Source organism: Homo sapiens, chromosome 12, assembly GCF_000001405.40.
Source record: "Homo sapiens chromosome 12, GRCh38.p14 Primary Assembly".
NCBI lineage: Eukaryota > Metazoa > Chordata > Mammalia > Primates > Hominidae > Homo > Homo sapiens.
In genome coordinates this window covers 131,649,854-131,673,635 of record NC_000012.12, presented here as the reverse complement: position 1 = coordinate 131,673,635, position 23,782 = coordinate 131,649,854, and the positions used below count along the sequence as shown (strand labels likewise).

The 23,782-nt window shown below is 50.4% G+C and overlaps 1 protein-coding gene, 2 long non-coding RNA genes and 2 pseudogenes across 4 annotated transcripts, besides 3 other annotated features; 2 read left to right on the top strand and 3 right to left on the bottom strand.

The window, feature by feature from the left end:
- Nucleotides 1–237: 237 nt before the first annotated feature.
- Nucleotides 238–2,649, bottom strand: LOC124903057 (uncharacterized). Its single transcript, XR_007063535.1, has 2 exons — nucleotides 1,246–2,649; nucleotides 238–664 (listed from the first exon to the last, which is right to left on the bottom strand). It is a non-coding gene; the product is annotated as an uncharacterized LOC124903057 (long non-coding RNA).
- Nucleotides 1,069–1,568: an enhancer, noted in NCBI's record as "H3K4me1 hESC enhancer chr12:132156613-132157112 (GRCh37/hg19 assembly coordinates)". NCBI's record gives its function as "activates a minimal SCP1, AML or CMV promoter by ChIP-STARR-seq in primed H9 embryonic stem cells {active_cell/tissue: H9 hESC(primed)}" and the evidence as "EXISTENCE:reporter gene assay evidence [ECO:0000049][PMID:30033119]".
- Nucleotides 5,355–6,156, bottom strand: RPS6P21 (ribosomal protein S6 pseudogene 21; annotated as a pseudogene).
- LOC100996701 (uncharacterized) lies at nucleotides 9,088–9,862 on the top strand. Its single transcript, XM_011539090.2, has one exon. The coding sequence runs from the start codon at nucleotides 9,218–9,220 to the stop codon at nucleotides 9,860–9,862; it is 645 nt and encodes a 214-aa protein (XP_011537392.1). The 5' UTR covers nucleotides 9,088–9,217.
- Nucleotides 11,247–11,958: an enhancer, noted in NCBI's record as "H3K4me1 hESC enhancer chr12:132146223-132146934 (GRCh37/hg19 assembly coordinates)". NCBI's record gives its function as "activates a minimal SCP1, AML or CMV promoter by ChIP-STARR-seq in naive H9 embryonic stem cells {active_cell/tissue: H9 hESC(naive)}" and the evidence as "EXISTENCE:reporter gene assay evidence [ECO:0000049][PMID:30033119]".
- Nucleotides 11,959–12,672: an enhancer, noted in NCBI's record as "H3K4me1 hESC enhancer chr12:132145509-132146222 (GRCh37/hg19 assembly coordinates)". NCBI's record gives its function as "activates a minimal SCP1, AML or CMV promoter by ChIP-STARR-seq in naive H9 embryonic stem cells {active_cell/tissue: H9 hESC(naive)}" and the evidence as "EXISTENCE:reporter gene assay evidence [ECO:0000049][PMID:30033119]".
- LOC105370086 (uncharacterized) lies at nucleotides 11,988–14,163 on the top strand. Of its 2 annotated transcripts, none has more exons than XR_945571.3 (3): nucleotides 11,988–12,779; nucleotides 13,507–13,574; nucleotides 13,712–14,163. It is a non-coding gene; the product is annotated as an uncharacterized LOC105370086 (long non-coding RNA). The 2 variants fall into 2 exon arrangements; XR_945568.3 differs by having other exon boundaries at nucleotides 13,481–13,574.
- RNA5SP377 (RNA, 5S ribosomal pseudogene 377) lies at nucleotides 12,477–12,573 on the bottom strand (annotated as a pseudogene).
- Nucleotides 14,164–23,782: the final 9,619 nt, after the last annotated feature.

Genomic DNA, 23,782 nt, shown 5'->3' with positions numbered 1-23,782 from the left:
CAAAAGAATAAATGAGGCCCTCATTTGCACTGTTTGATGACTGCCACTGTTTAAGTATTCTCGCCGTGGCTGGTTCAAGCTGTCATTGGAGGTCTCTGGACGGAGCTGGGGAGAGACGTGCAGCCTGGCACCACCGTTTCCACCACGTAGACACCACAGATGCAAGGAACCCTGAGGGCGGAGACCATGGTAGAATGTAGTGAAGTCATCACAGGGACACTGTGAGAGTTTATTCCCTTCGTTTTCACATAATTTATTCCATTGTAAGTTTACAGGATTTAATTTATGACAACAGCTGTGTTTCATGACCGGTCAGCCCCAGCACCCACTGCCCCCACTCCGGCTGGGGAGCCCCTGACAGGAGTGAACGCGAGAGGGGCCTGGGGTCTGCTCCTCCTCCTCCTCCATCTTGGCGTCCACACGCTGCCCAGGAGCCCCTGACAGGAGTGAACATGAGACGGGTCCCAGGTCTGCCCTTCATCCTCCTGCTTCATCCACACGCTGCCCGGGAGCCCCTGACAGGAGTGAACACGAGACGGGCCCCGGGTCTGCCCCTCCTCCTCCTCCTCCTTCATCCTGGTGTCCACATGCAGCACACTGTGAGCCTCTCCCAACATGATCCTCATGATTAAAATCAGTCTTTCCCCACAAGTGACCCCTACATCTAAAGCAAGGACAGCATCTGTGACTCACTGAGACCCAGGATCTGGGGGCTGGCATGTGGTGGGGGGATGCTGACAGCTCAGACCGGGCTGTGGCCTGAAGCCAGCGAGGAGGAGAGGCTGAGGCGAGGAGCCAGGTGCCCGCCCTCCATCCTCCGTTCCTCTCTGTAAAGTGACCTCTCGCTCAGAGCGGGGATGTGGATGTGACATTTGGACAGACGCCCGATGAAGTGAGGGAGCCGTGTGAGCACTCGGAGCAGGGCCTTCCTAGCAGTGGGAATGGGGGTGCAAAGGCCCTGAGGTCAGGGGAACTTGATGTGTTCCAGGCACAGCAGGGACACCTGCTGGAGGGGGGCGTGGGACATCAATTCAGGACGTCAGAGTGGCCGAACTTGCAGGGCCTGTGCATACCTCTGTGTCCCAGGCTTAGACCCAGGTTTTGTTCTGAATATGTAGGGAAACCTTAGAGGCTTTGAGCAGGGAAGGGACAAGGTGTTTAGGATGCTCACCCTCCTGTCCCCCACTTTCCACGCCACACCCAGCACCTGTGGGGCAGGGGCAGGATTTCCACTGCCGTTCTCACCATTTCTGATGCCATCCCAGCTCTGGGGACTGCACTGGTGCAGAGTTCTTTCCATCCTGTCTCTCAGCGTGTTTATCTAATCACTGTGTGGCAGGTGGTCTTGCCCATTATTCCCTCAGATTAGGTGTTGATAATTCACTGAAATGGAATCTGAAGGTGTGCGGCTCATTAGGCCTCTAATGAGAAGGGAAGGCTGGGCCCCAGTGGCCCTCGTCAGCTCTTCTGTCTTTGCACATGGCCCTCGTCAGCACCTCCTGTCTCTGCAGCAGTGATTGATGACATGACCAGCCTCAGATGCTGGCCTCTTGATCCACACGGGAGGGGCCCTTTGGGGTCCTGTGAGGCCAGGGCTGGAGGCAGCAGGGGAACTGGGTTTGCCGGTGGAAGGTCCGGGCTGGGCTCCCTTGTAGGGTCTGAGTGGCCGAGTGCATCCTAAAGACCTTGGGTGACAGTGATGGAGCCGCCCCCCCAGGGCTCAGGTGGTCATGGGGGATTCCAGGGCCCATAGAGCTGAGATTCCAGGGTTGGGGCAGGGCCTCTCCACCAGGACATCTTCCCAGGCCATGGGATTCGGCTCCCTCTTTCCTGCCTGACTTTCTTCTCTGGAGGTTGCTTTTTTTTTTGTTATTGTTGTAATAAAGGACACATAACATAAAATTTATCATCTTCACCTTTTTTTCTAAGTGTATATATAGCAGTGTTAACCACACGAGATCTCTAGAACTTTTTCATCTTGCAAAATGGAATCTATCCATTAAGCAACTCGTCTTCCCCCTCCGCACTGTCCCTGGCAACAGCAACAGCCATTCTTTCTGTCTCTAAGAGTTTGACTGTTCTAGGAATCTCACATGAGTGGAATCATCTTGTGTGCATCTTTTTGTGACTGGCTTATTGCCTTAACATAATAACCTCAGGATTCATCCACGGCGTAGCACCTGGCAGGATTTTCTTCCTCCCGAAGGCTGAAGAGGATTCTGCTGTGTACAATCCCACGCTTTCTCTAGCCACTCCCCCTTCAAAGGACATTTAGGCTGCTTCCACCTCTTGGTTACGGTGAGCAAGGTTGCAGTGAACGAGGGTATGCAGATATCTCTGTGAGACCCTGTGATCAGTTCTTCTGGATAAATACCCAGAAGTGGGATTGCTGGGTCATAGGGATTTTTTGAAGAACACCACAGTGTTCATTTGACCATACCTGTGAGGGCTTATTTCTGGGTTCTCTATTCTGTTCCATTGGTCTGTATGCCTGTCTTTATGCATACTGTTTTGATTACTGTAGCTTTGTAACACATCTTCGGTTTTCTTTCACCAGATTGTTTTAGTTATTCAGGGTTCTTCAAGATTCCATATGAATTTTAGGATGCTTTCTAATTTTTCTATTTCTGCAAGAAGTCCCACTGGGACATTTATAGGGATTGCATTGAATCTGTGGATCACATTGGGTAGTATGGACATTTTAATGCTACCAAGTCTTCCAATCCATGAACATGGCATATCTTTCCATTGATTTGTGTTTTCTTTAACTTTTTCCAACAGCGTTTTGTAGTTTTCAGTGTACAAGTATTTTGCCTCTTGGTTAAGCTTTTTCCTGAGAATTTTCTTCTTTTGATGGTGTTGTAATGGGATTGTTTTCTTAGTTTCCTTTGGAGATTGTTCATTGTTAGTGTATTGAGATGACACTGAGTTTTGCATGTTGATTTTGTATCTGGCAACTTTGTTGAATTAGTTTATTCTTTTTTTTTTTTTGAGATGGAGTCTTGCTCTGTCCCCCAGGCTGGAGTGCAGTGGCCCCACGATCTCGGCTCACTGCAACCCCTGCCTCCTGGGTTCAAGCGATTCTCCTGCCTCAGCCTCCCGAGTAGCTGGGACTACAGGTGCCAGCCACCACGCTTGGCTAATTTTTGTATTTTTAGTAGATACGGGGTTTCACCGTGTTAGCCAGGATGGTCTCAATCGCCTGACCTCGTGATCCGACCGCCTCGGCCTCCCAAAGTGCTGGCATTACAGGTGTGAGCCACCGTGCCTGGCTGATGTGTAATCCTTCTAATTTGTTATTAAATTGTGTTTGTTAGCATTTTATTTAGGATTTTTGCATGAATATTCATCAGAGATTTGGTGTTGTAATTTTCTCTTTGTGTAGTATCTTTGATTTTTGTATAAGGGTAATACTGGCCTCATAGAATGAGTTTGGAGGTGTTCCCTCTTCAATTTTTTGGAAGAGTTTGAGAAGGATTGCTGTTGGTTCTTCTTTAAATGTTTGGTAGAATTCTCCATGAAGTCATCTGGTCCTGGGCTTTTCTTCTTTGGGATGTTTTTGATTATTAATTCAATTTCCTTACAAGTTATAGGTTGGTTCAGATTTTTTATTTCTTCATGGTTCTGTCTTGGTAGGTTGGATGTTTCTGGAAATTTATCTATTTTTTTTCCAGGTTATCCAATTTGTTGGCATATAATTGTTCATGCTAGTTTCTTATGATCCTTTTTATTTCTGTAGCATCAGTTGTAACATGTCCTCTTTTATTCCTGACTTTTGTTATTTGAATATTTTTTCTTTTTTTAGTCTAATAAATGTTTTTGATTTTATTGATCTTTTCAAAAAACAGCTTAGTCTTTTTTTTCTATTGTTTTTCTATTCTCTATTTTATTTTGGCACTGATCTTTATTATTTCTTTTTTATGTTAACTTTGGATTCAATTTGCTTTTTGTCTAGTTCTGTGAGGTGTAAAGTTAGGTTGTCGATTCGAGGTATTTTTTTTCTCTTTTTAAGGTTGGCATTTACCATGGTAAGCATCCCTCTAGTACTGCTTTTGCTTAGTACTGTATGTTTTTACCTAATGTATAACTTTGGTATGTTGTGTTTTTATTTTCATTTGCCTCAAGGTATTTTCTAGTTCCTTTGTGTTTCTTCTTTTACCCATTGATTATTCAAGAATGTGGTTTATTTTCCACATATTTGTAGGATTTTCCAATTTTCCTTTTGCTGTTAACTTCTAGTTTCATCCCGTTGTTGGAAAAGATACTAAGCATCATTTCAGTCTTCTTAAATTTATTATGATTTATTTTGTGGCCTAACATATGATCTTTCCTGGAGAATGTTCCATGTGTGCTTAGGAAGAATGTGTGTTCTGCTGTTGCTGGAGAGTGTCCTGTGTGTGTCCGTCAGGCCCAATTGATCTATGCTGTTGCTCAAGTCTTCTCTCACCCTGTTTTTCTGTCTGGCTGATCTATCCATTATTGGAAATGGGGTATTCAGACCTCCTGCTGCATTTCTGTGCGTTTCTCCCTTCAGTTCCGTCAGTTTGTTTTACATATTAGTGTGCTTTGTCAATAGGTCCATATGTGTTTATCATTGCTATATCTTCCCAGTAAATTTATCTTTTCATCATTGTATGAAGTCCTTTTTGTCTCCTGTGACAGTTTTTGACTTGTCTATTTTGTCTGACATGAGTGTGGCCACCTCTGCTCTCTTTTGTTTACCATTTGCATGGAGTATCTTTTTCCATCCTCTCATTTTGAACCTGTGTATGTCCTTATATCTAAAGTGATATGGAGGTAGAGAGTGGAAAGACGGAAAACAGAGACTGGGAAGGGTGAGTGGGGATAGGGGAAGGATGAAGAAAAGTTGGTTGAAGGGTACAAAAAACAGTAAGATAGAAAAAATAAATTCAATATTTGATAGCAGAGTAGGGTGAACATAGTTAACAAAAGTATATTGTACTTGGGTGGTGAACACCCTATACCCTGACTTGATCACTATGCATTATATATGTATAACAACATTTCACATGTGCCCTATGAATTTGTACAAATAAAAAAATATAAAGTGTCTTGTAGATAGCATATAGCTGCATCTTATTATCCATTCAGTCACTCCATGTCTTTTGATTGGGGAGTTTCACCCATTTATGTTTAAGTTAATGACTGATGGGACGGACTTACTGTTGCTATTTTGTTGTTTTGTGTTTGTCTTATAATTATTTGTTCCTCTTTTCCTCTCTTGCTGCCTTTCTTTGTGTTTCTTTGTTTTTGTTTTTTGTTTTTTGTATTGAGCTGCTTTGATTTCTTTCTCATTTTCTTTTCTGCATCTTCTACAAGTATTTTCTTTTGGAAGGGTCTGATCTTATTTGCTACTCAAAAAATCTTACTTTTGTCTGGATGCAGACTTAGAAGTAGAAGCTCACCGCTGGAGGGTCTGCATTTCCTGGCAGTCTGTTCCTGATGTTTTTCTTTGGCCTCTTTCATTCTCATGGCCAGCGTGTAGCCTACTCTGCAGCCTCTGCTTTATTTTTCGTAGTGCACTGTTTTCTTCAGAGCAAGATGCCAGCATTTGTGTTGCAGGACACGTGGAGTAACAAGACACTGAGTCTTGGGTGCTTTGGTCCTCAGTTTCTTACATTCTTTGTTTAAGGGCTTTCAACATATTTCCAGACATCATCTTCTTTAGAGACATAGAAAAGTCTGCGGATTCTGCTAGCTCTTCTGGGCCCCAGGCAGCGAGGCGCCATAGTATCAGTCAGTCCAGGAATATCCTTCTCTCCTACTTTTTTTTTTTTTTTTTTTAACAATAACCAAGTTGAGGACGCTGAGATTGGCATCCACAATATGCAACGGCGAACAGGTTTTCACTGTCTTTCTCCAGTTCTCCTTGGTCTATGGCAGGAATGCCGCTTACTCGGTAGCAGGTGGACATGGCCATGGGTCGGGTCACCCTGCTTCATGGGAAGGCTTGTTTGTCTTTCCCACCACTGATCCAGACCACAGAACCCTTCCATGCTTCACGAGAGCATCAGCAGCAACTTCTGTGGCCACAGGCATCTCATACAAACTACGAAGTTTGCGTTCATCGTCCACTTCAATGAGCTTTTGGCAGCTAGCGGCTGGGAAGATGTTCAGCTTCATCTTGAAGCAGCTCTTCTGTTGGTATTTTCTTTGTGGTTACTATGGGGACTGCATAAAACATCTCATAACAATCGACCTTAAGCTGGTAACAACTCCAACTGCATGCAAAACCTCTATCCTTTCTACAACCCCCCGCTTTATGTCCTCAGTGTCACAGATTACACCTTCTTACACTTGGTATCAATTCGCAGAACTTTGTAGCTGCCTCAGAAAGGCTTCTGGGCCTTGCTGTTGTGAGTTGGTGTTTCTGCCGGGAGGGAGTTCTGGGCTTCCTGTTCCGCTTTTGTGCTCTCCTCTCTAGAGGTCTAAACACTCAGCCAGCATAATGTGACAACCCCGGACTCTCTGTGCTTCCATCCTGCCCTGGAGCAACCTCCTGAGAAAGTGCCCAGAAAGAGTGACCTGGCGGGCCTGAGACGGTGGTCCTGGGAAAGGCCTGCTGGTGAGGGTGCCCTTGGCTGGTGTCTTGGAATCTGGCTGCAGCAGTTCCCTGTGGAGACACACAACCTCCCTCAATAGCGAGGAGCTCCTGTGTCTAAACTCCTGTGGAAACCACGTGGTATCCTGAGCCCGTTTCCTTCTGGGGTCCTGGAATGTCTGTGCGCGCCAAGCAGAGGTGCCCCCGTGACCAGCCCCCTAGTCGCTGGGCGCTGAGTCTCCGTGGGCTTCCCTGGTGGGCGACGTCTCACTGTGCCGTCACGTCACTTTGCTGGAGGAACTAAGCACAGCCATTGTGGCTCCACAGGGAGAGGACAGGGATGCTTGTGCCTGGTGCCCTGGACTTGGCCACCCAGGCCCTGGCTGTGCTCACCCTTCCCGGCCCCTGCAGCCCCGGATGGCAGTGGCTTCCTGCTGATGCCTAACTCAGGGTCACCGCCCCACCATTTCTTCTGCAGCTCCTCCAGCCCCTCTGTGGCGAGTTCCATGATTAAGTGGCCCCCATGGCACTCCCTGGGTGGCTCTGGCTTCCTGGCTGCCCTGGCCCACTCATAGGACCCTTTTCTACCAAGCATGGCCTCCTGGGAGCCTCACACCCCAGGACACAGAAGGGACTGGGGCCCAGCAGGTGGGTTGCTGACCCTGGAGACAGAGTGTCCACTTTGCTCATGGCCAGAAGTCATTTCATTATCTCTAAGAAGCAGACGGTCTGCTCCTCCTGTGTCTATAATTTCATTTACCTTCACACACACACAGAATTTCAATGTGACTTCCTACCTCCAACTCAGCAAGGAGGACACGGATGCTTAGATGGGAAACGGCTGCTGCAAACGCAGCCTGAGTGTGAGGTCAGGGGCTGTGCAGACAGACAGGCAGACAGACAGATGGAGAGATGGACAACAGATGGATAGATGGACAGGCAGACACACAGATGGACAGACAGACACACAGACAGGCAGATAGGCAGACAGATGACAGACAGACACACATGGACAGGCAGACAGACAGACAGATAGATGGAGAGACAGCAGAGACACACAGGCAGACACAGTCAGGCAGACCTGGTTGGATTCCCGCCAGTCGCCCTAAGTAGTTCAGTTGACCGTTCAGAGCTTTTGTTGCTCACCTGCGAAGCGGGGCGGGGCTCCGTCTCCTGATCTTCGGACCACCCTCCATCCCCACCTACCCGTGGGGAAGCCCCCTCCCTACTCTCAGTGGACCTGGGGGTACACACAGCACCGCTCCCTGATGCCAGGCTCTTAGGGCAGTCGCGTGGCCCAGGCCTGGGGAGTCCCTGGACTCCGTCTCCTGGTCACAGGGACGGGCCCAGGATCAGCGGGGTGTGTGGGGTGGGATTCCAGGCCAGCGGGGATGTTCCGGGCTGGTGGGACCCTGTGGATGCGGATGCAGCTCCCTATTTCTTGCCTTCCAGGGTGTTGTGGTTCTGAAAGAGAAACCCCAGTGCAGTAGGTGAATGCGTCCCCAGAAATCCCCCTGGGGGTCCCCAGTCACAGTGGACAGTGAAGCCATGACTCAAGCAGGCCCCCCAACCCCGAGTCCCACTGTCCCCTAGTCAGAGCCCACGGGGACCCGGCCTGGGTCACTGCACAGGAAACGATGCTGGACTCACTGCGGAACCCACAGGCCCAGTGATCTGGTCTGACCCAGGAGGACTTGAGCGGCCCAGTCCCCAGGGGCTTCCTGTGTGACATCACAAGCAGACTGAGGCCCGTCAGAGCCGCCCCAGGCAGTTATGTGAGGTGCTCTCAACTTACAACCTTTAAAACAAGGAAGACCCACCCTGTTCCCAGGAGCTTTCCAGATCCACCAAGGGCAGGTGGGAAGAGACCTTGAAGTATCAGGGTTCAAGCCCCGAGAGGAGATCCAAGGGGACCCCCTCCATCTGACTGAGGAACGGACTCCCCACTTCCACCAACCCAACTCGTCATGGCTGCTCGGAAATCTCATATTCAAGTCAAAAAAGGAGGCGAAACTCCTCTCAACGCCTGCATTTTAAGCAGCGGCTCCTCGGCTCTTGTGTGGTGTTCAGGCGCTCGCAGATCGTCCCTGCTCTTCCCTCCACCCTGCAGTGAGCTCCTGGCAGCTGGGCCGGACGCAGCTTCCCATGAGCAGAGGATCGACCTGGGAGCCTGGTGGGTGATCTCCGCCCAGACCAAGCATGAGAACCCCAAGTCCAGTGGGACAGGCCACAGACCAGCGACTGCTGCCCATGCCTGTCCTGGGGACTCCAGACAGTGCCGAGGGAAAGGAGAAATCATTCATTCAGCCATTCATTCGTTGACCCAGGCAATCATTCATTCATTCAACAGATATTGACTGAGTCCTCCCTTTGAGGCAGGCACTGTTTTATGCACTGAAATACAACTATTTATACAACAGACACTCTTCCCTCCCCCCATGGAGGTTCTGTTCAAGCGGGGAGACAGTCATTTGTTAAACGAAACATAAAATCTCAGTGACAATTAGAGCTCTGGGGGAGAATGAAGGAGCAGGAAGAGGCAGAGGAGGAGGAGCCAGGGCTGCCAGGTGCAGTAGCCCAGGTTGCGCACTGCTCAACTTTGCTGTGGGATTCACATCACAGTCATCAGAGTCACACTGGGCAGTTTCCCAGTAGATGGCCGCACTGTGTCTCAGGAAGGGCCCATTGCCGCTTTGTCCAAGGCCATCTCATGGGCTCAAAGCCATGGGAGGGGAGGGGTCCTGCCAGGATGACACAGAGTCTGGGGCCCTCATTTTCCTCCCATCAGATGATGCCCAGCCTGGGAAGGCACTGAGACCGCAGCGGAGTGGGCCAGGGGGCAGTGAGAGGAGGGGACGTGGGTGGGGCAGGGCTGGGGCACTGGAGGAGCAGGTCAGGCAGGGCCCGTCAGCCCAGAGGCACCCCAGGACTCAAGCCTGCAGCCGACCCTGCTCTCCTAGCCCTCACTGCAGCTGTGGGAAGGGGAAGCATGGAGCCCTCCCTCAAGGTCAGTGCAGCGCCTGGCTTGAGCTCACCATGGTGACTGTCCCCTGCTGCCACCATTGCAGTCACTGCCCTGGTGGGCAGCCTGGACCCCAGCTCCACTGCGCATGGACTGTGTGGTCTTGGGCAGTGCCAAGCTCAGCCTCACGGGCCTGTGGGGACGGTCACAGGAGGTCCACGTGCCAGGCCCAGGGTTCATGCACAGGGTTACCACCACTGCGAGGTTGCCTGTCCCGTCTTGTACCCGGCTGTCCATGCCCTCATCTCAGGCAGCAGGACAAAGGCAAGTGGAACTGAGAGGGGAGAGAGAGGCCAGAGTCCCCTGCAGCCCTGTCCCCAGGACCAGTGCCAAGAGCAACCTCAGAGGAGGGACCTGGGAGTGGCTGGTTCCAGTCCCCACCCCCACTCCGATGGGAAAGTGACCCCGGGTGACCTGCCAAGGTCACAGGGCAGAGCTAGGGCGAGGTCTAAGCACCTCATGTCTGAGCAGAGGAACCCACTCAAGGCCCACCAGGACCCACACGGCCAGTGTTGTCATCACTGAGACATAGAGACGGGGGCCCCCGAGCCACACAGCTGGACAGTGAGAAAACCAGGCTCCCAGCAGTGAGCTGGCCGCATGCCCAGGGCCTTCCACAGCTCCACACAGCCCAGCCTCCAAACCAACTCAGGATGGGCCCAGGGCTCAAATGCCCCCAAGGCCCAGGCAGAACCGTGGGAGTGCAGGTGCCCAGGGGTGACGATAGGGAACGGTGGGGACTGCGGAGAACCGGAGAGGGCTTCCCTCCTAAGGGCAGTGAACCTCAAAGTTCCCTAAACCTACAGAGCCCACCAAGCTCACCTCTCCAGGGGGCTTCAGTCCAGTCTCAAGAGTGGCACCTGGTGAAGGGGGTTCTTGGGATGTGACAGTGACCTCCGAAGCCTGGACATTTGCTCTGTAAGGAGGGGGTCTGGGCTTTTAAAATGTCCTGCTGAGAAAAGAGAAGACACAGGGTGGATTCGGGCACAAGGGATGTGACGGAAGGAACAGCCCCTCTGCAGCGGTGGCGGTTCAGAGGGCCCAATCAGCACACGACCCCCACCCTGGCCCCTGCAGAAAGGCAGGCCTGGTGCGGAAGCTGAAACTCGAAGCCTAGCGCGAAGGCCCCGCAGATGTCAGTCGTGGGGTGCGCCAGAGGCAATGGGGGCCCCGTGATGAGTGCGACCCTAACTGGGTTATGTTGATGAACGCAGGGATTTTCACATCAGAGTTAGGAATGGCGGTGACAATAAACTAAGGAATGGTTTCCGTGGATACAGTTGACACGCGGAATCTTGTGTCTTAGAAAGCCTGTCTTGAGGCTGGTTACAGTGGTTCACGCCTATAATCCCAACATTTTGAGAGGCCAAGGAGGGAGGATCGCTTGAGGCTAGCAGTTCAAGACCAGCCTGGCCAGCATAGCAAGATTCCATGTTTATTAAAAATTTTGAAAGGCACGTTGCTTTGTGTCTCAGGATTGCTCTGTGCTGTGTTCAGACAACAGGAGGATGAAAACAAACTCTCCAATCTCGGGGCTGGGAGGAAACAGGGTGCCTATTACCGTGAGGTGGGATGAATTGATCTTTCATTTAATCCTCCTGCAATACTCGTGGGTTCGTTCCTTCCTTCCTTCAAGAAGCGTTTCTTGCGGCACCTACTACGGGCCAGGTGCTGTCCTGGGCTCTGCAGATCCAAAAGTGAAAGAAACGGACAAAATCCCTGCCCTCCTGGAGCTCCCCTGAAATAAGCGGATCCGTGAAATGAAGGGAAGAGGTGAAGCCAGAGGCGTCGGGGCTGGGAAGGGAAGAACCGGGCAGGGCCCCGGGGGCATCTGGGGGGCGGCGGGGCCTCTCCAGCCGCGGGGGCCTCTCCAGCTCTGGGGCTCCTCTGAGCGGGGCCTGCGCGGTGAGGAGCGGCCCCTACTGCGGGCAGGAAGCAGCGCGGGAGGGGGAACCGCAGGGCAGACCCGGGCCGGCATCGCCTCCGGGGACGGGCCCGCTGTGCCCGGGAGGGGTCAGGGCCCTAGAGGCGGCGGCAGCGCGTGGACCAGGCCCCGACTCAGGGTCCCGGGCAGGAGCGTGGACTTCGTGCATTCGGAAGCCGCCGGTCGAGGCTCGGTGGCTGCTGCGGGGGCAGCGGGTGGGGAGGGCAGGACGCACCTCTGTCTACACCCGCTTCACCCGCTTAACGACACGAATCAGCGTCCTCCGCGCAGGGACCCGGAGCTGGCTGGAGGCGTCCGCAGAAGACCCGCGCCGGGGCCGAGGGCCGCGTGGGGGCCGCAGACTTGCAGGGAGCGCAGCCCCAGGTGGGCAGGGCCGAGGCGGGGACCTGAAGCCGGGGAGGGAGGCCCAGGGCGGGCTCCGCGCGTCCAGCCGCGGGTGGGTGTCTGCGCCGCTGGGGGTTCCAGAGAATTCTCAACCGTCCCCCTCTCTCCCCCCGGGACAGCGTCTCTATTCCAACCTGGCACGGACGCCAGGAGCTCGCGCTACGAGTCATTTTAAAAAGAAAACACAATTTACGTGTGAAAGTCGAGACGAGAAAGCTCGCGGGTGCCCGTTAGGATTTGTGGGGTGAGACGGGAGAATTCACACCAGTCCCAGCTGCCCTCCAGGGAAACAGAACCCACGAACGTGTCACGTCTGCGTTTATCGATAACCGCGTGTGCGCGGAGGGGCTGTGCTCAGTGTCCCGCGTGAGGCTCCCGGGAGAGCTCCCTCCCCTTCCGCGTCTGGCTCTGGGAGGGCCCTGGGCGGCCAATCAGGATCCCCATTGCCTTCGCCGAAGTGCTGTGTCCGGTGCAGGCCTGTGACCCACGTGGCCTCCAACAGGGTCCCTGTTTATCGCGCTGTCGTGGTCGTGGGGTTTGAGGAAGAAAGCCCAGCGCTGGCGCCATTTGGTCTCCCATCCAAGTTCTAACCGGGTCCGACCCTGCTTAGCTTCCGAGATCAGATGAGCTCGTAGGCGTTCGGGGGGCATGGCCGTAGACTTTGGCCACTTGGTACCACGGTGGGCTGAGGGGCTGCGGGTGGGAAGGCGATTTGAGGAGCACATTTGCAGGCAGCAGACTGTGGCTTCCAGAACCGACTGTGCCCGAGGATAAGGCCTGAACTTCAACAACCTGCAAGTGGGTTGAGCAACCCGTTTCACCGTTGAGGAGACAGAGCGCTGGCCCAGCCTGGACCCGGAGCTGAGGTGGGTCCTGCAGAAGCCGTGGGGGGCCCGGACTGTGCATGGGAAAAGGGCCACACCAGGGGCTGCAGGACCCCTTCCTGATTCCCCCAGGACGGGGCGCCTGTCATTTGTCTACAACCCATTTTCCCTGGGCCTTCTCCTCCGGCTTCCCCCGCATGAAGGAGTTTGCTGCGAAGCACGGAATTCCAGCAAGGCTGGGAAATCCACGCAGGCCCAGCGCCCAGTGCCCCAGGGCCCCAGTGCTATGGGTCCCACAGGATCCGCTATTTGGGGTGAAGGCCCTGGGTGTCCCCGGGGGGCAGAGCTGGGCTCTCTCCTGCTTGGAGAAGGGTGTGCTTTTGTTTCAGAGCTGTGGGAGCAGACAACATTTCTGAAGGTTGCAATTTTTGTTTTTTAGCAAAAATTCCTTTCTAAAATGTATGAGCCCGAGCAACACATTCATTTTTGTGATACGGAGTGAAATCAGGCATGAATTTTTCACGTTTCTTTTCTCATTCATTGGGCGTTAGGTGTACCACTCCTCGGCTTGTCAAAATGTTTTAATTTGTGGATTTGTTTTTTAAAAGTGTACGATTGGCAGGGAAGTGGAGGAGGGTTTCCCTCCTGAGAACACCCACCACGTAGACAGGAGGCCCCAGTGCCAGCTCGGGACTTGGGGGTGGGAAGTATTTAACTGGGATGGGGAATCCCCTGCATGACAGGTTCCTGTTTCCTGGCTCACCTGGAGGCTCCTGCAGTTGGCCAGATGAGACCCTGACGTGGAAACAAATCTCTCGGGCACAGGCACACTTCAGGGTGAGTGCAGCCTTCACAGGGGATGGGGCCTCACTGGGCTCTGAAGGCCAGGGCCACCTCCTCCTCCTCCTCCTTCCCAGGGACTCCAGGAATCCCCTCCCCATTCCCATCCCCCAAACCTCTATCCTCCATCCCAGGCTTTAAAGAGGTGCATTCACCTGTTGAAGATGGTGGTCCAGGCAGGAAAAGAGCAGGGGCTGCTGCTGACTTGTTCCCCAGGAGCACAGGAGAGGAGGCTTCGAGACCCACATGTGTCCTGTGGCTGCTCCACCCACACCGGGGTCTGACCCCAGCGGATCAGCAGAGAGAGCGGCCCAGAGCAGGAGGCCCAGCCCAGGGCAGCTGGGGTCTGCAGGGCTCCCCTCCAGAGGCCGCACCTCAGACCTTGGCAGCAGCCCCCAGCTCTGTGGATCCTCCAGGAGATTTTCCCAAGCTCCAGCCCCAACCCTTTAATTCACACTGGGAAGAGCCTCAAAGAACCCGGCAGGGACGGAGCTCCCCCGACCCTCTGGGCAAAGATCAACTTGGTTAAAAGGGCCTCCAGCTGAAACCCATCTCCTGGGGAAATGTATTAAAACAGAAACTCTGCTAGGAAGATTGTTTTGCTCAGACGTTCTTCTCCTCCTGGGTTTCTGCTTTTACAATCTTGACCTGAACTAAATTTAATGCAGAAACCTTCACTGGTTGCTGGGAGAGCAGAGTGGAGGTTTAAGTGAGAAAACTAATTTCAAAGAACTGTAGGGGAAGGAAAACTTTTCCTCTACTCTCTCACCTTCAGTGGCTGGGGGCCTGTGAGTTAAACGGATGAAAGTTATTAACAGGAAGAAATTGGCTGGGTACCGTAGCTCATACCTATAATCCCAGCAATTTGGGAGGCCAAGGCGGGTGGATCACCTGAGGTCGGGAGTTCGAGACCAGCCTGACCAACATGGAGAAACCCTGTCTCTACTAAAAAATACAAAATTAGCCAGGCATGGTGACACATGCCTGTAATCCCAGCTACTTGGGAGGCTGAGGCAGGAGAATCACTTGAATCTGGGAGGTGGAGGTTGCGGTGAGCTGAGATGCGCCACTGCCCTCCAGCCTGGGGAACAAGAGTGAAACTGTCTCAAAAAAAGACAAAAAATCAACAGGAAAAAAGCATGCATTTGGAATTTTAAACTTAACGTGCATGAGGGTGTCCCAGAAATAAGCAAATACCAGAGGAGCAGTGAGATTCTGGAGCTCACATCTCGTCCTAACGGGGGTAGGGAGGGCAGAGGCGCACTTACGGAAACGCAAAGGACTTTATTGAGAGATAAATGGGCCCTCAGGAGGGCAGATGGGAGACATGGTCCTTTGTGACAATGTCTGCCGGGATGTGGGGGGGCTTCTCCCCTCCAAGAAGAGAAGATTACAGTTGTTCCTGGGGAGACACTTAGGACAATGGAGTTGTTTGGGGGAGGCTCTGGTTTTAGGCAGATAAAGAATTTTAGGAACTCCAATGCTTTCTGCTCAAAAGAATTCTGCTGCCAAAATGGCATACCTCAGGTTGGCACTTCCTGATTCCCTCTAGAGCCTTGCGATGAACTGTAGACCTCTTCCTGTAAACACCACCACCACACACAAGTGAAAAGAGAAGGTCAGATTGAGGAGCGACGTTTGCCTCATGCTTAATAGTCAACAGTTTGGTACATGCAACCTCTAAGTGGCTTCCATAAATGAATAACAAACAGAAAGAAAGAGCGATAGAAAAATGAGCAGATATTATGAGCAGGTAATTCACAGAAAAGGAATATCAAAAAACAGTTAAGCAAAAGAAAAGATGTCCCCCCTCACTAATAATCAGCCAGACAGTGAATTCAGCAGGTGTGTGACATTTTTGCCTGCCAGCTCCACGCTAATGTACTAAGATGTGCAGACAGCAGCCTGGGGAGACCAGCTGCACCTCCCTTAATGCAGTAGCTCTGGGCCAGGCATGATGGCTCCTACCTGTAATCTAAGCACTTTAAGAGGCCAAGGCAGGAGGATCATTTGAGGCCAGGAGTTCAAGATCAGCTGGGCAGCATAGTGACCCCCATCTCTATAAAAAAGAAAAAAGAAAAAAAAGCAGTGGCTCCAAAGCCTCCCATGGAAAACTTCTCATCATGTGGGCAAGGCAGAAGCTTCATTAGTAAAATGATTCAGCACCTGCCATCTGATGTCCATTCTCCAATCCCTTAGCCAAGTGCAACTCAAATGCCATTGATCATGGCCTATTTCAGGGACACAAGTTTCCTTGCATTAATCACTCTTTCCAGGATGCCAGGCACACTGACCCCCTTGGTACAGGGTCAGGGGACCCACCTGTGTCTCCTCCTTGTCTGGGGGAAGTTTACATGCTCTATGGAGGGCGTGCTGCTGAGGGCAATACCAGAAGGGAAGTTTTCTATAGGGGACCTCAGCTCCTGTTTATAAAGAGGGAGTCCAGGATAGGGGAGATGGCCCCTGGGAGGGGAATGTCTCCACATACCTAATAATTTGAGATGATTATAACAATAATAAGTATATTTCATCCAGCGTTTGTGGTGGGATTGTCTGTGCTCTGAGACTTGTCATGATCTCACCACATTCTCTTCTCTCTCTGGGATACCAACATCACCATCATCACCATTACCATCATCATCATCATCACCATCACCATCATCACCATCATAATCATCATTATAACCACCACCATCATCACCATCATCACCACCACCATCACCATTATCATCATAATCATAACGATCATCACCATCATCAACATCATTATCACCATAACCATTGCCATCACCATCATAATCATTATAACCACCACCATCATCCCATCGTCATCACCACCACCATCATCACCATCACCATCACCACCACCATCGTTACTATCATAATCATAATAATCATCACCATCATCATTAGCGTCATCACCATCATCACCATCATAATCATCATCACCACCACCATCATTATCATCATAATAATCATCACCATCATCATTATCATCATCACCACCATCACCATCATCATCATCACCACCATCACCATCATCATTATCATCATCACCACCATCACCATCATCATCATCATCACCATCATCATCATCATCATGATGACAATCATGACCGTCGTAGTCATCATTATCACCACCATGATCATCACCATCATCGTTATCACCATCATCACCACCACCATCATCATCATCATAATCATAAAATCATCACCATCAACATCATTATCACCATCATCATCACCATCACCATCATCATCACTATCATCATCACCATCATCACCACTACCACCATCATCATCATTGTAACAATCATCATCATCGTCAATATCATTATTACCATCATCATCACCATCATCACATCACCATCATTACCATCATCATCACCATCACCATTATCATCACCATCATCACCATCATCCTCATCACCATCATCACTATCATCATCACCATTATCAACATCATCATCATTCCTATTTCACAGCTGAGGAAGTGGAGGAGAGGAGGAGGAGAGGGCTCACCTCTGTCAGGAAATGACCAGGAAGTGGCTCCCATGGCCCTCTTATCTTAGTGCATTGGTCAGAAATGGGTCACTTGGTCACATGAGGCCACAAGGAGGGCTGGGGAAGGTTGTCCTCACTCTGGGTAGCCATGGGTCCAGTTCCCACTCAGGGCTCTAATCCACAGGTGAGGCAGATGTGGAGGGAGGGTTTGAGAGTCTTCAGTTCTGAGAAGCTCCTGGTGATGCTCATGCTGCTGGTCCCAGAGTAGCAGAGCTTTAGGGGCTCAAATTCCCCATTTTCCTTCACTGTGAGAGGTACCTGCTTAGGGGCCATGGGAGAGTCCCTTTTATCCCATAACTGATTGTTGCTCAGGGTCCTCTCTGCAGAGCCCCCGGTCGACTCCCAGGGACAGACCTGTAAGGTTTCTCAGCTAATTGTGGCAGCATTTCCTGCAGTGGATTCATCCCCAGAATGTGGCACCGGGCTGCCTGTGCCTCTCTTTGTTTTCCTGTTGCTGATGCGGTGCCTGGGATAAGAGTGCAGAGCTGGCTTGGAAGACGGGAATTTCTCCTGTCGATATCAATCACGTCTAGTGTATTGCTGAACCTGCCTCATTACAATGTCAAATGTGTTCAGAGATGGGAGCTTAAACTGCCATTATCCTTACCCATATCTCTCTCTGCCTTGAACTTCTGTAAGCAATGAATTTGAATCCCAGGACAGGGATGAGAAGGTGCTGAGTTCCAAAATGAGGGGATAGGCTTTGTGGCATCCTGGGCAGAGGAGTTTATGTGTTTAGTGTGCAGGCACCACGGCGGGGGATCACCCCACAATGAACCCGGCCACAGGGCCATGGATGGGACACATCTCTCAGCGGGGACCCAGGGACAGTGTCTCCATCACCTCCATCCCAGCGACCCTCTACTCACACCTGCAGTCAAATGTCTGCTCCTCCCTGTGAAGGGCGAGGGGGCCATGGAATCCCTGACTGCACAAAAGGCTGAGCACTGCACACACCTGGAGATCTCAGGCCCCTGCCCTCTGGCTGAGCCAGGGGGAAAGGGGATTTTTCCTGGAATTCAACTCTCTGCACCGTGGCCACCCCTTGAAGGACTCACAGACTCCCCTGATTCAGCCTCATGGCATCTCAGGGAGGTTGGGCAGCTTCCCTCTGCAGCTGGAGGCCGAGTGCCTCTCCCACCTCCAATCCTGCCCTTCAGCAAACTGACTGACAGGCAAAGGAATCAACCCAGAGCCTCCAGAAGCTTCCAAGTCCCAGCCAGGGGAGCCACACCTGCCCAGATGCTGCAGAAGAGCAGCACTCAGTCATGGCCTGCGCTATTTCACACAAGAGGAAACTGGGTTTGGGAGAAGGAAGGGGCTACGCAGACTTAAACAGACACGGCTTTAAGCAAAGATAAACTCACAGAGCAGAGAAGGTGTTCTCTACGCTCTGCTTTGTCCAGATTTTAGAATCATGAATGTGTGACCTGAGACCCTATTAATTAGACGCTTTAATGTGATGACTAAAATTGGTCAAAAATTTAGATTAGCCAATTCACAAAAGAGGATTCTCACATGTCCCATAAGCACAGGGACAGTTGTGCAGCATCGCCAGACATCAGGGAAGTAAAAATTAAACCATAGTGAGACTCCAGTCCATGCCCACAAGAATGGCTGGAATTGGAACAGCTGACCTCCTGCTGAAGACCAAGTGGGGCCCTTGCAACTCCTGCGTGTAGCTGGGAGGAGTGTGCAATGGTGCACCCCCCTAGGACACCCTTTTGGATGGCTTCTGGGGAGGAGTGTGCAACGGTGCACCCCCTAGGACACCCTTTTGGATGGCTTCTGGGGAGGAGTGTGCAATGGTGCACCCCCCTAGGACACCCTTTTGGATGGCTTCTGGGGAGGAGTGTGCAATGGTGCACCCCCTAGGACACCCTTTTGGATGGCTTCTGGGGAGGAGTGTGCAATGGTGCACCCCCCTAGGACACCCTTTTGGATGGCTTCTGGGGAGGAGTGTGCAATGGTGCATCTCTAAGACACTCTCTTGGATGGGTTTTGTGGAGGAGGGTGCAACGGTGCACCCCTAAGAAACCCTCTTTGGTGGGTTTTGTGGAGGAGTGTGCAATAGTGCACCCCCAAACACCCTCTTGGATGGGTTTTGTGGAGGAGTGTGCAATGGTTCACCCCTAGACACCCTCTTGGATGGGTTTTGTGGAGGAGGGTGCAATGTCGGACCCCTAAGACACCCTCTTGGATGGGTTTTGTGGAGGAGGGTGTAATGGTGCACCCCTAAGGCACCCTCTTTGATGGCTTCTAAGGTTACACATAGAACAATCCCATGACCCAGAAAATCCATTCCTGGGAACGTAAGAAAAATCCATAAATATGTCCACAACAAACAACTGCACGAGAATGACACAATAGCTTTGTTCAAAATAGTGAAACCCAGAAACAACCCAGGCAAATGCAGAAACAAATAGCAGAATCTTCATACAATGCAACGTTACTCTACGATCACTCCTGAGAAAGACAGTTTTAGGGAGAAATCTCAAGAAATTATGTTGAGAAAAAAATGGGAGTCCTGAAATACTACACGTCACAGAATTCCATTTATATCCAGTTCCTGTCACTTAGGTTTCCAAACAGGCAAGACTGTGTGGAAACAGAGCACAGGAAAAGTGACCTCTGAGTGTGGACTGGAAAGGGCATGAGGGGCTTCCTGGGGGTGGTGTCTGTGCCTCAACTTGGGGGCGGTCACAAGGCCTGTACATATGTAAAGTCCCGTCCATCTGTACTCATAAGATTTGTTATTTTACTGAGTGTAAATGATGCCTCAAATAACTACTAAAAAGGGATGATGGTAAATCCTGCCTGATCCTTCAAACCCCATCTCCTCCTGCCCCGCCCTCAACCCTTTCCTTAATCTCCCAGCCACACACCATCCCCTAGAGCAAAGATGTTGTTTTTGCTGTTTTTTCCCCATACGTGGATTCAAGATCAATGCAAATATCAACTGTACATTTGAAGATTAAAGTGAAAGTCATTCTTGACTCCACCCCATCCTTTCCCTCCTGCTCACCACATTCCTATTCATTTCCAGAGAAACACTGTGGCCTGGTGGGGGTGGGGGTGTCTCTTCTTCCAGAGGGTCTCTAAGCTTTTACATCCATACATCCATATGGATGGAAATAAGTGCCCCTTTCACCATGGCTTTTATAAACACACACACACACACACACACACACACAAACATCACACTGGGGCCATGTCTTCTTCCTTGCTTGTTTTGTAGAATAGCAAGACTTAGAAATCTTTCCATATGCATATGTATAGTGCTACCATTTTGCATCAGCTGCTACACAATATTCCATAACATGGACATACCGTAGGCTGTATTTAACCAAATCACCCTCGGAAGAGACTAAAGTTTTATTTTTCCCCACGTCTCCAGGATGACTGTCGACGTGGCAGCACACATTCTAGCACCCGCCTCCTTTGCCCATGCTCAGGTAGATGCTGAGAAGTGAAATTGGGAACCATGGCATGTGTGCACTTTTTGTGTCAATAGATACGTCAGATGGTTCTCCAGAAAAGACCATTCGAACTTACATTCACACAAACAGCATACGTGAATCCTCTTTCCGCACATCTTGGCTAATACTTTTTTTTTTTTTTTTTGAGACAGAGTCTGGCTCTGTTGCCCAGGCTTGAGTGCAGCGGCATGATCTCGGCTCACTGCAACCTCCGCCTCCCAGGTTCAAGCGATTCTCCTGCCTCAGCCTCCCAAGTGGCTGGGACTACAGGCCTGTGCCACCTCACTTGGCTAACTTTTTATATTTTTAGTAGAGACGGGGTTTCACCATTTTGGCCAGGCTGGTCTCGAACTCCTGACCTCATGATCCACCCGCCTTGGCCTCCCAAAGTACTGAGATTACAGGCGTGAGCCACTGCACCTGGCCACTTGGCTAATACTTGACATGATCATTTCCTCACTTCTGCCCATCAGATAGGTGAAACGTTGTATCTTGTTTTAACTTGTTTGCCCTCATTCCTAGTGAGTTGAGCATTTTTCTATGTTGCCCTTTGTCATTTCTCTCCCATAAATTGTTTGTTTATATCCTTTACCTGAATTTTTGCTGGGTTGTTTATCTTTTCCATATTACTCTAGGGAGGCGTTTACAGATTCTGTGTGTGAATCTTTTGTTCTATGTCGTGTAATGTTTTCTGCGAGTCTGTGGCTAATCTCTTCACTGTACTGATATGGAAATTTTAAATGTCGATGTAGACAAAAGTATGTATTTTTCATTTTAGCCCTGTGTATTTTTGTCTTGTTTAAGGTCTTTTGATACCCAGGTTACATTTTCTTTCTTTCTTTCTTTCTTTTTTTTTTTTTTGAGACGGAGTTTCACTCTTGTTGCCCAGGCTGGAGTGCAGTGGTGTGATCTTGGCTCACTGCAACCTCTGCCTCCTGGGTTCCAGCAATTCTCCTGTCTCAGCCTCCCGGGTTCCAGCAATTCTCCTGTCTCAGCCTCCCAAGTAGCTTGGATCATAGGCGTGTGCCACCACACTCAGCTAATTTTTGTATTTTTAGTAGAGACGCGGTTTCATCATGTTGGCCAGGCCGGTCTCGAACTCCTGACCTCAAGTGATCCACCTGCCTTGGCCTCCCAAAGTGCTGGGATTACAGGCATGAGCCACCGAGTCCGGCCCATTTTCTTATATTTGTGTGCATTGTCTGTATAGTTCTGCTTGATGTTTAGGTCATAAGTCTGTCTTTGTTTTGGGGAAGAGCGGGAGGTTGAGGCTTGATTTTATTTTTCTCCCACAGAATAGGCAAGCATCTCAACACCATTCATTGCCACCCATTAGGGTGTGAACAGCTCCCTTATTGCATCTTAAGTTCATGGCACATGGCTCTGTCTCTGAACCTTCCATTACATCCTATTGATCTCTTCCTCTACTTCCGTTGGTGCCACGGTGTTTCATTCACAACGTCTTTATTATCTATTGAAAACGGGGGGAGAATCACTGCTCTCCACTCTTCTTTCTCTTCCTCTCTCTCTTCCTCTCTTTTTGCACTGTTTTAGCACTTACTCTTCATGGTGTATTTAGAATCTATTTGCAAATGTCCCTGACAACGTGTGTGGAGATATGGATTGACGCTGTGCAGAACGTGTGGATTTGAAAGGGAAGAACGGACGGTTGTGCACTCTCAGGCTCCCTGCTCAGGAGTGGAGCAACTTCCTCCTCCCTCTCTTGAGAGCACGGTAACGTCTTGCAGGAGAGTTTTACAATCATCTTTACAAAGATCTCACTCATTAATTAGGTTTACTAGCACATGTTTCAAAGGTCTTGCTGCTATTGTAAACGAAATCTTACGTATTCTATTGCGTCTTCTAATCAGACAGTGCTGATCAGTAAGAAGTGTTCTGTATTTGCAATTTTTCTTTTAGTCCCTATGATTTATGGTGTTGGTTAATTAGGTTTTCTATGTGGGCCATGATATATCTGCAAATATTGTTAATGGTGTCTCTTCCTTTTCGATATCTATGCTTAGTTTTTCCTTGTTCTGTGCATTATCAAGGACCTATATTAAATACTGTTTGTGATAGTGATAGCAGGCATCTTTACTATGTTCTTGACTTCAAAGGAACAGCTTCTGATATGTTTTTTCTTTTTTAAGACAGGGTCTCGTTCTGTCACCCAGGCTGCAGTGCAGTGGCATAATCATGGCTCACTGCAGCCTCAACCTCCCAGGCTCAATCAATCCTCTCACCTCAGCCTCCTGAGTAGCTAGAAATACAGCCACCCACTACCACACCTGGCTAATTATTTTTGTACTTTTTTTTGGTAGAGATGAGGTTTTGCCAGGTTGGCCAGGCTGGTCTCGAACTCTTGGGCTCAAGCGATCCACCCATCTTGGCCTCCCAAAGTGCCGGGATTTCAAAATGACACATGACAATAACCATTTTCTCCGTTTTCTGAATGTTGCGTGTTTACAATACCCTGGATTGTATTCCTGTTTAGTGCCAAAAAATGGTTTCAAAATTATAATCCAATTCCTTGCAGGCCAAAAGGATGCTGGAATAAAACAAACCAGAGCTTCTTCCCCAAATCCCAGTGAGGTTCCTGCCTCTGGGCAGGAAGGAGTGGCCTTTGCTCCTGGGGAAAGGAACTAAAGAGGATTCTGGAGGACTCTGGGCTCCCACAGCCTCTGGGACTCTCAGGCCTCCTCTAGGGGGAAACATGGCCAGAGCCTGGGGAAGACAAATTGAATGCTGCACACGCTGACCGGCTGTGGCCCCTCACCTCACAGCCTAGGAGCTACTTGCTGTAAGGCCAGTGTGCAGATGAGGGACATTGGTCTCCACAGTGTTCAACCATTCAGCCAAGATCACGGCCAGTGAGCTGTGGAGAAGGAACCCACATCTGCCTGGATCACGATTCTTTCCACCACTGGGTAGAAGGTAAGTGAGGAATCTGAGTGTCTGGCAGCATTTCTGGAAAATAACTGAGTATTATCATTAGAAGACATTATCATTAGAACCCAAGGGAATTCTTGGTGAAGACCCATGCTTGTCATACCCAGTCCTACATGGGACTGGCCAAGGCCACTGCTCAGCCAAGGGGAAGCTATATGTTCGAGAGACAAGGGGCTCAGCGAATCCTGTGCTGTTCCCATGGGGGGAACCCTA

Excerpts from the sequence above, each read along its gene's own strand:
- LOC100996701 (XM_011539090.2), top strand. The coding sequence starts at position 9,218 with ATGGCCGCACTGTGTCTCAGGAAGGGCCCATTGCCGCTTTGTCCAAGG.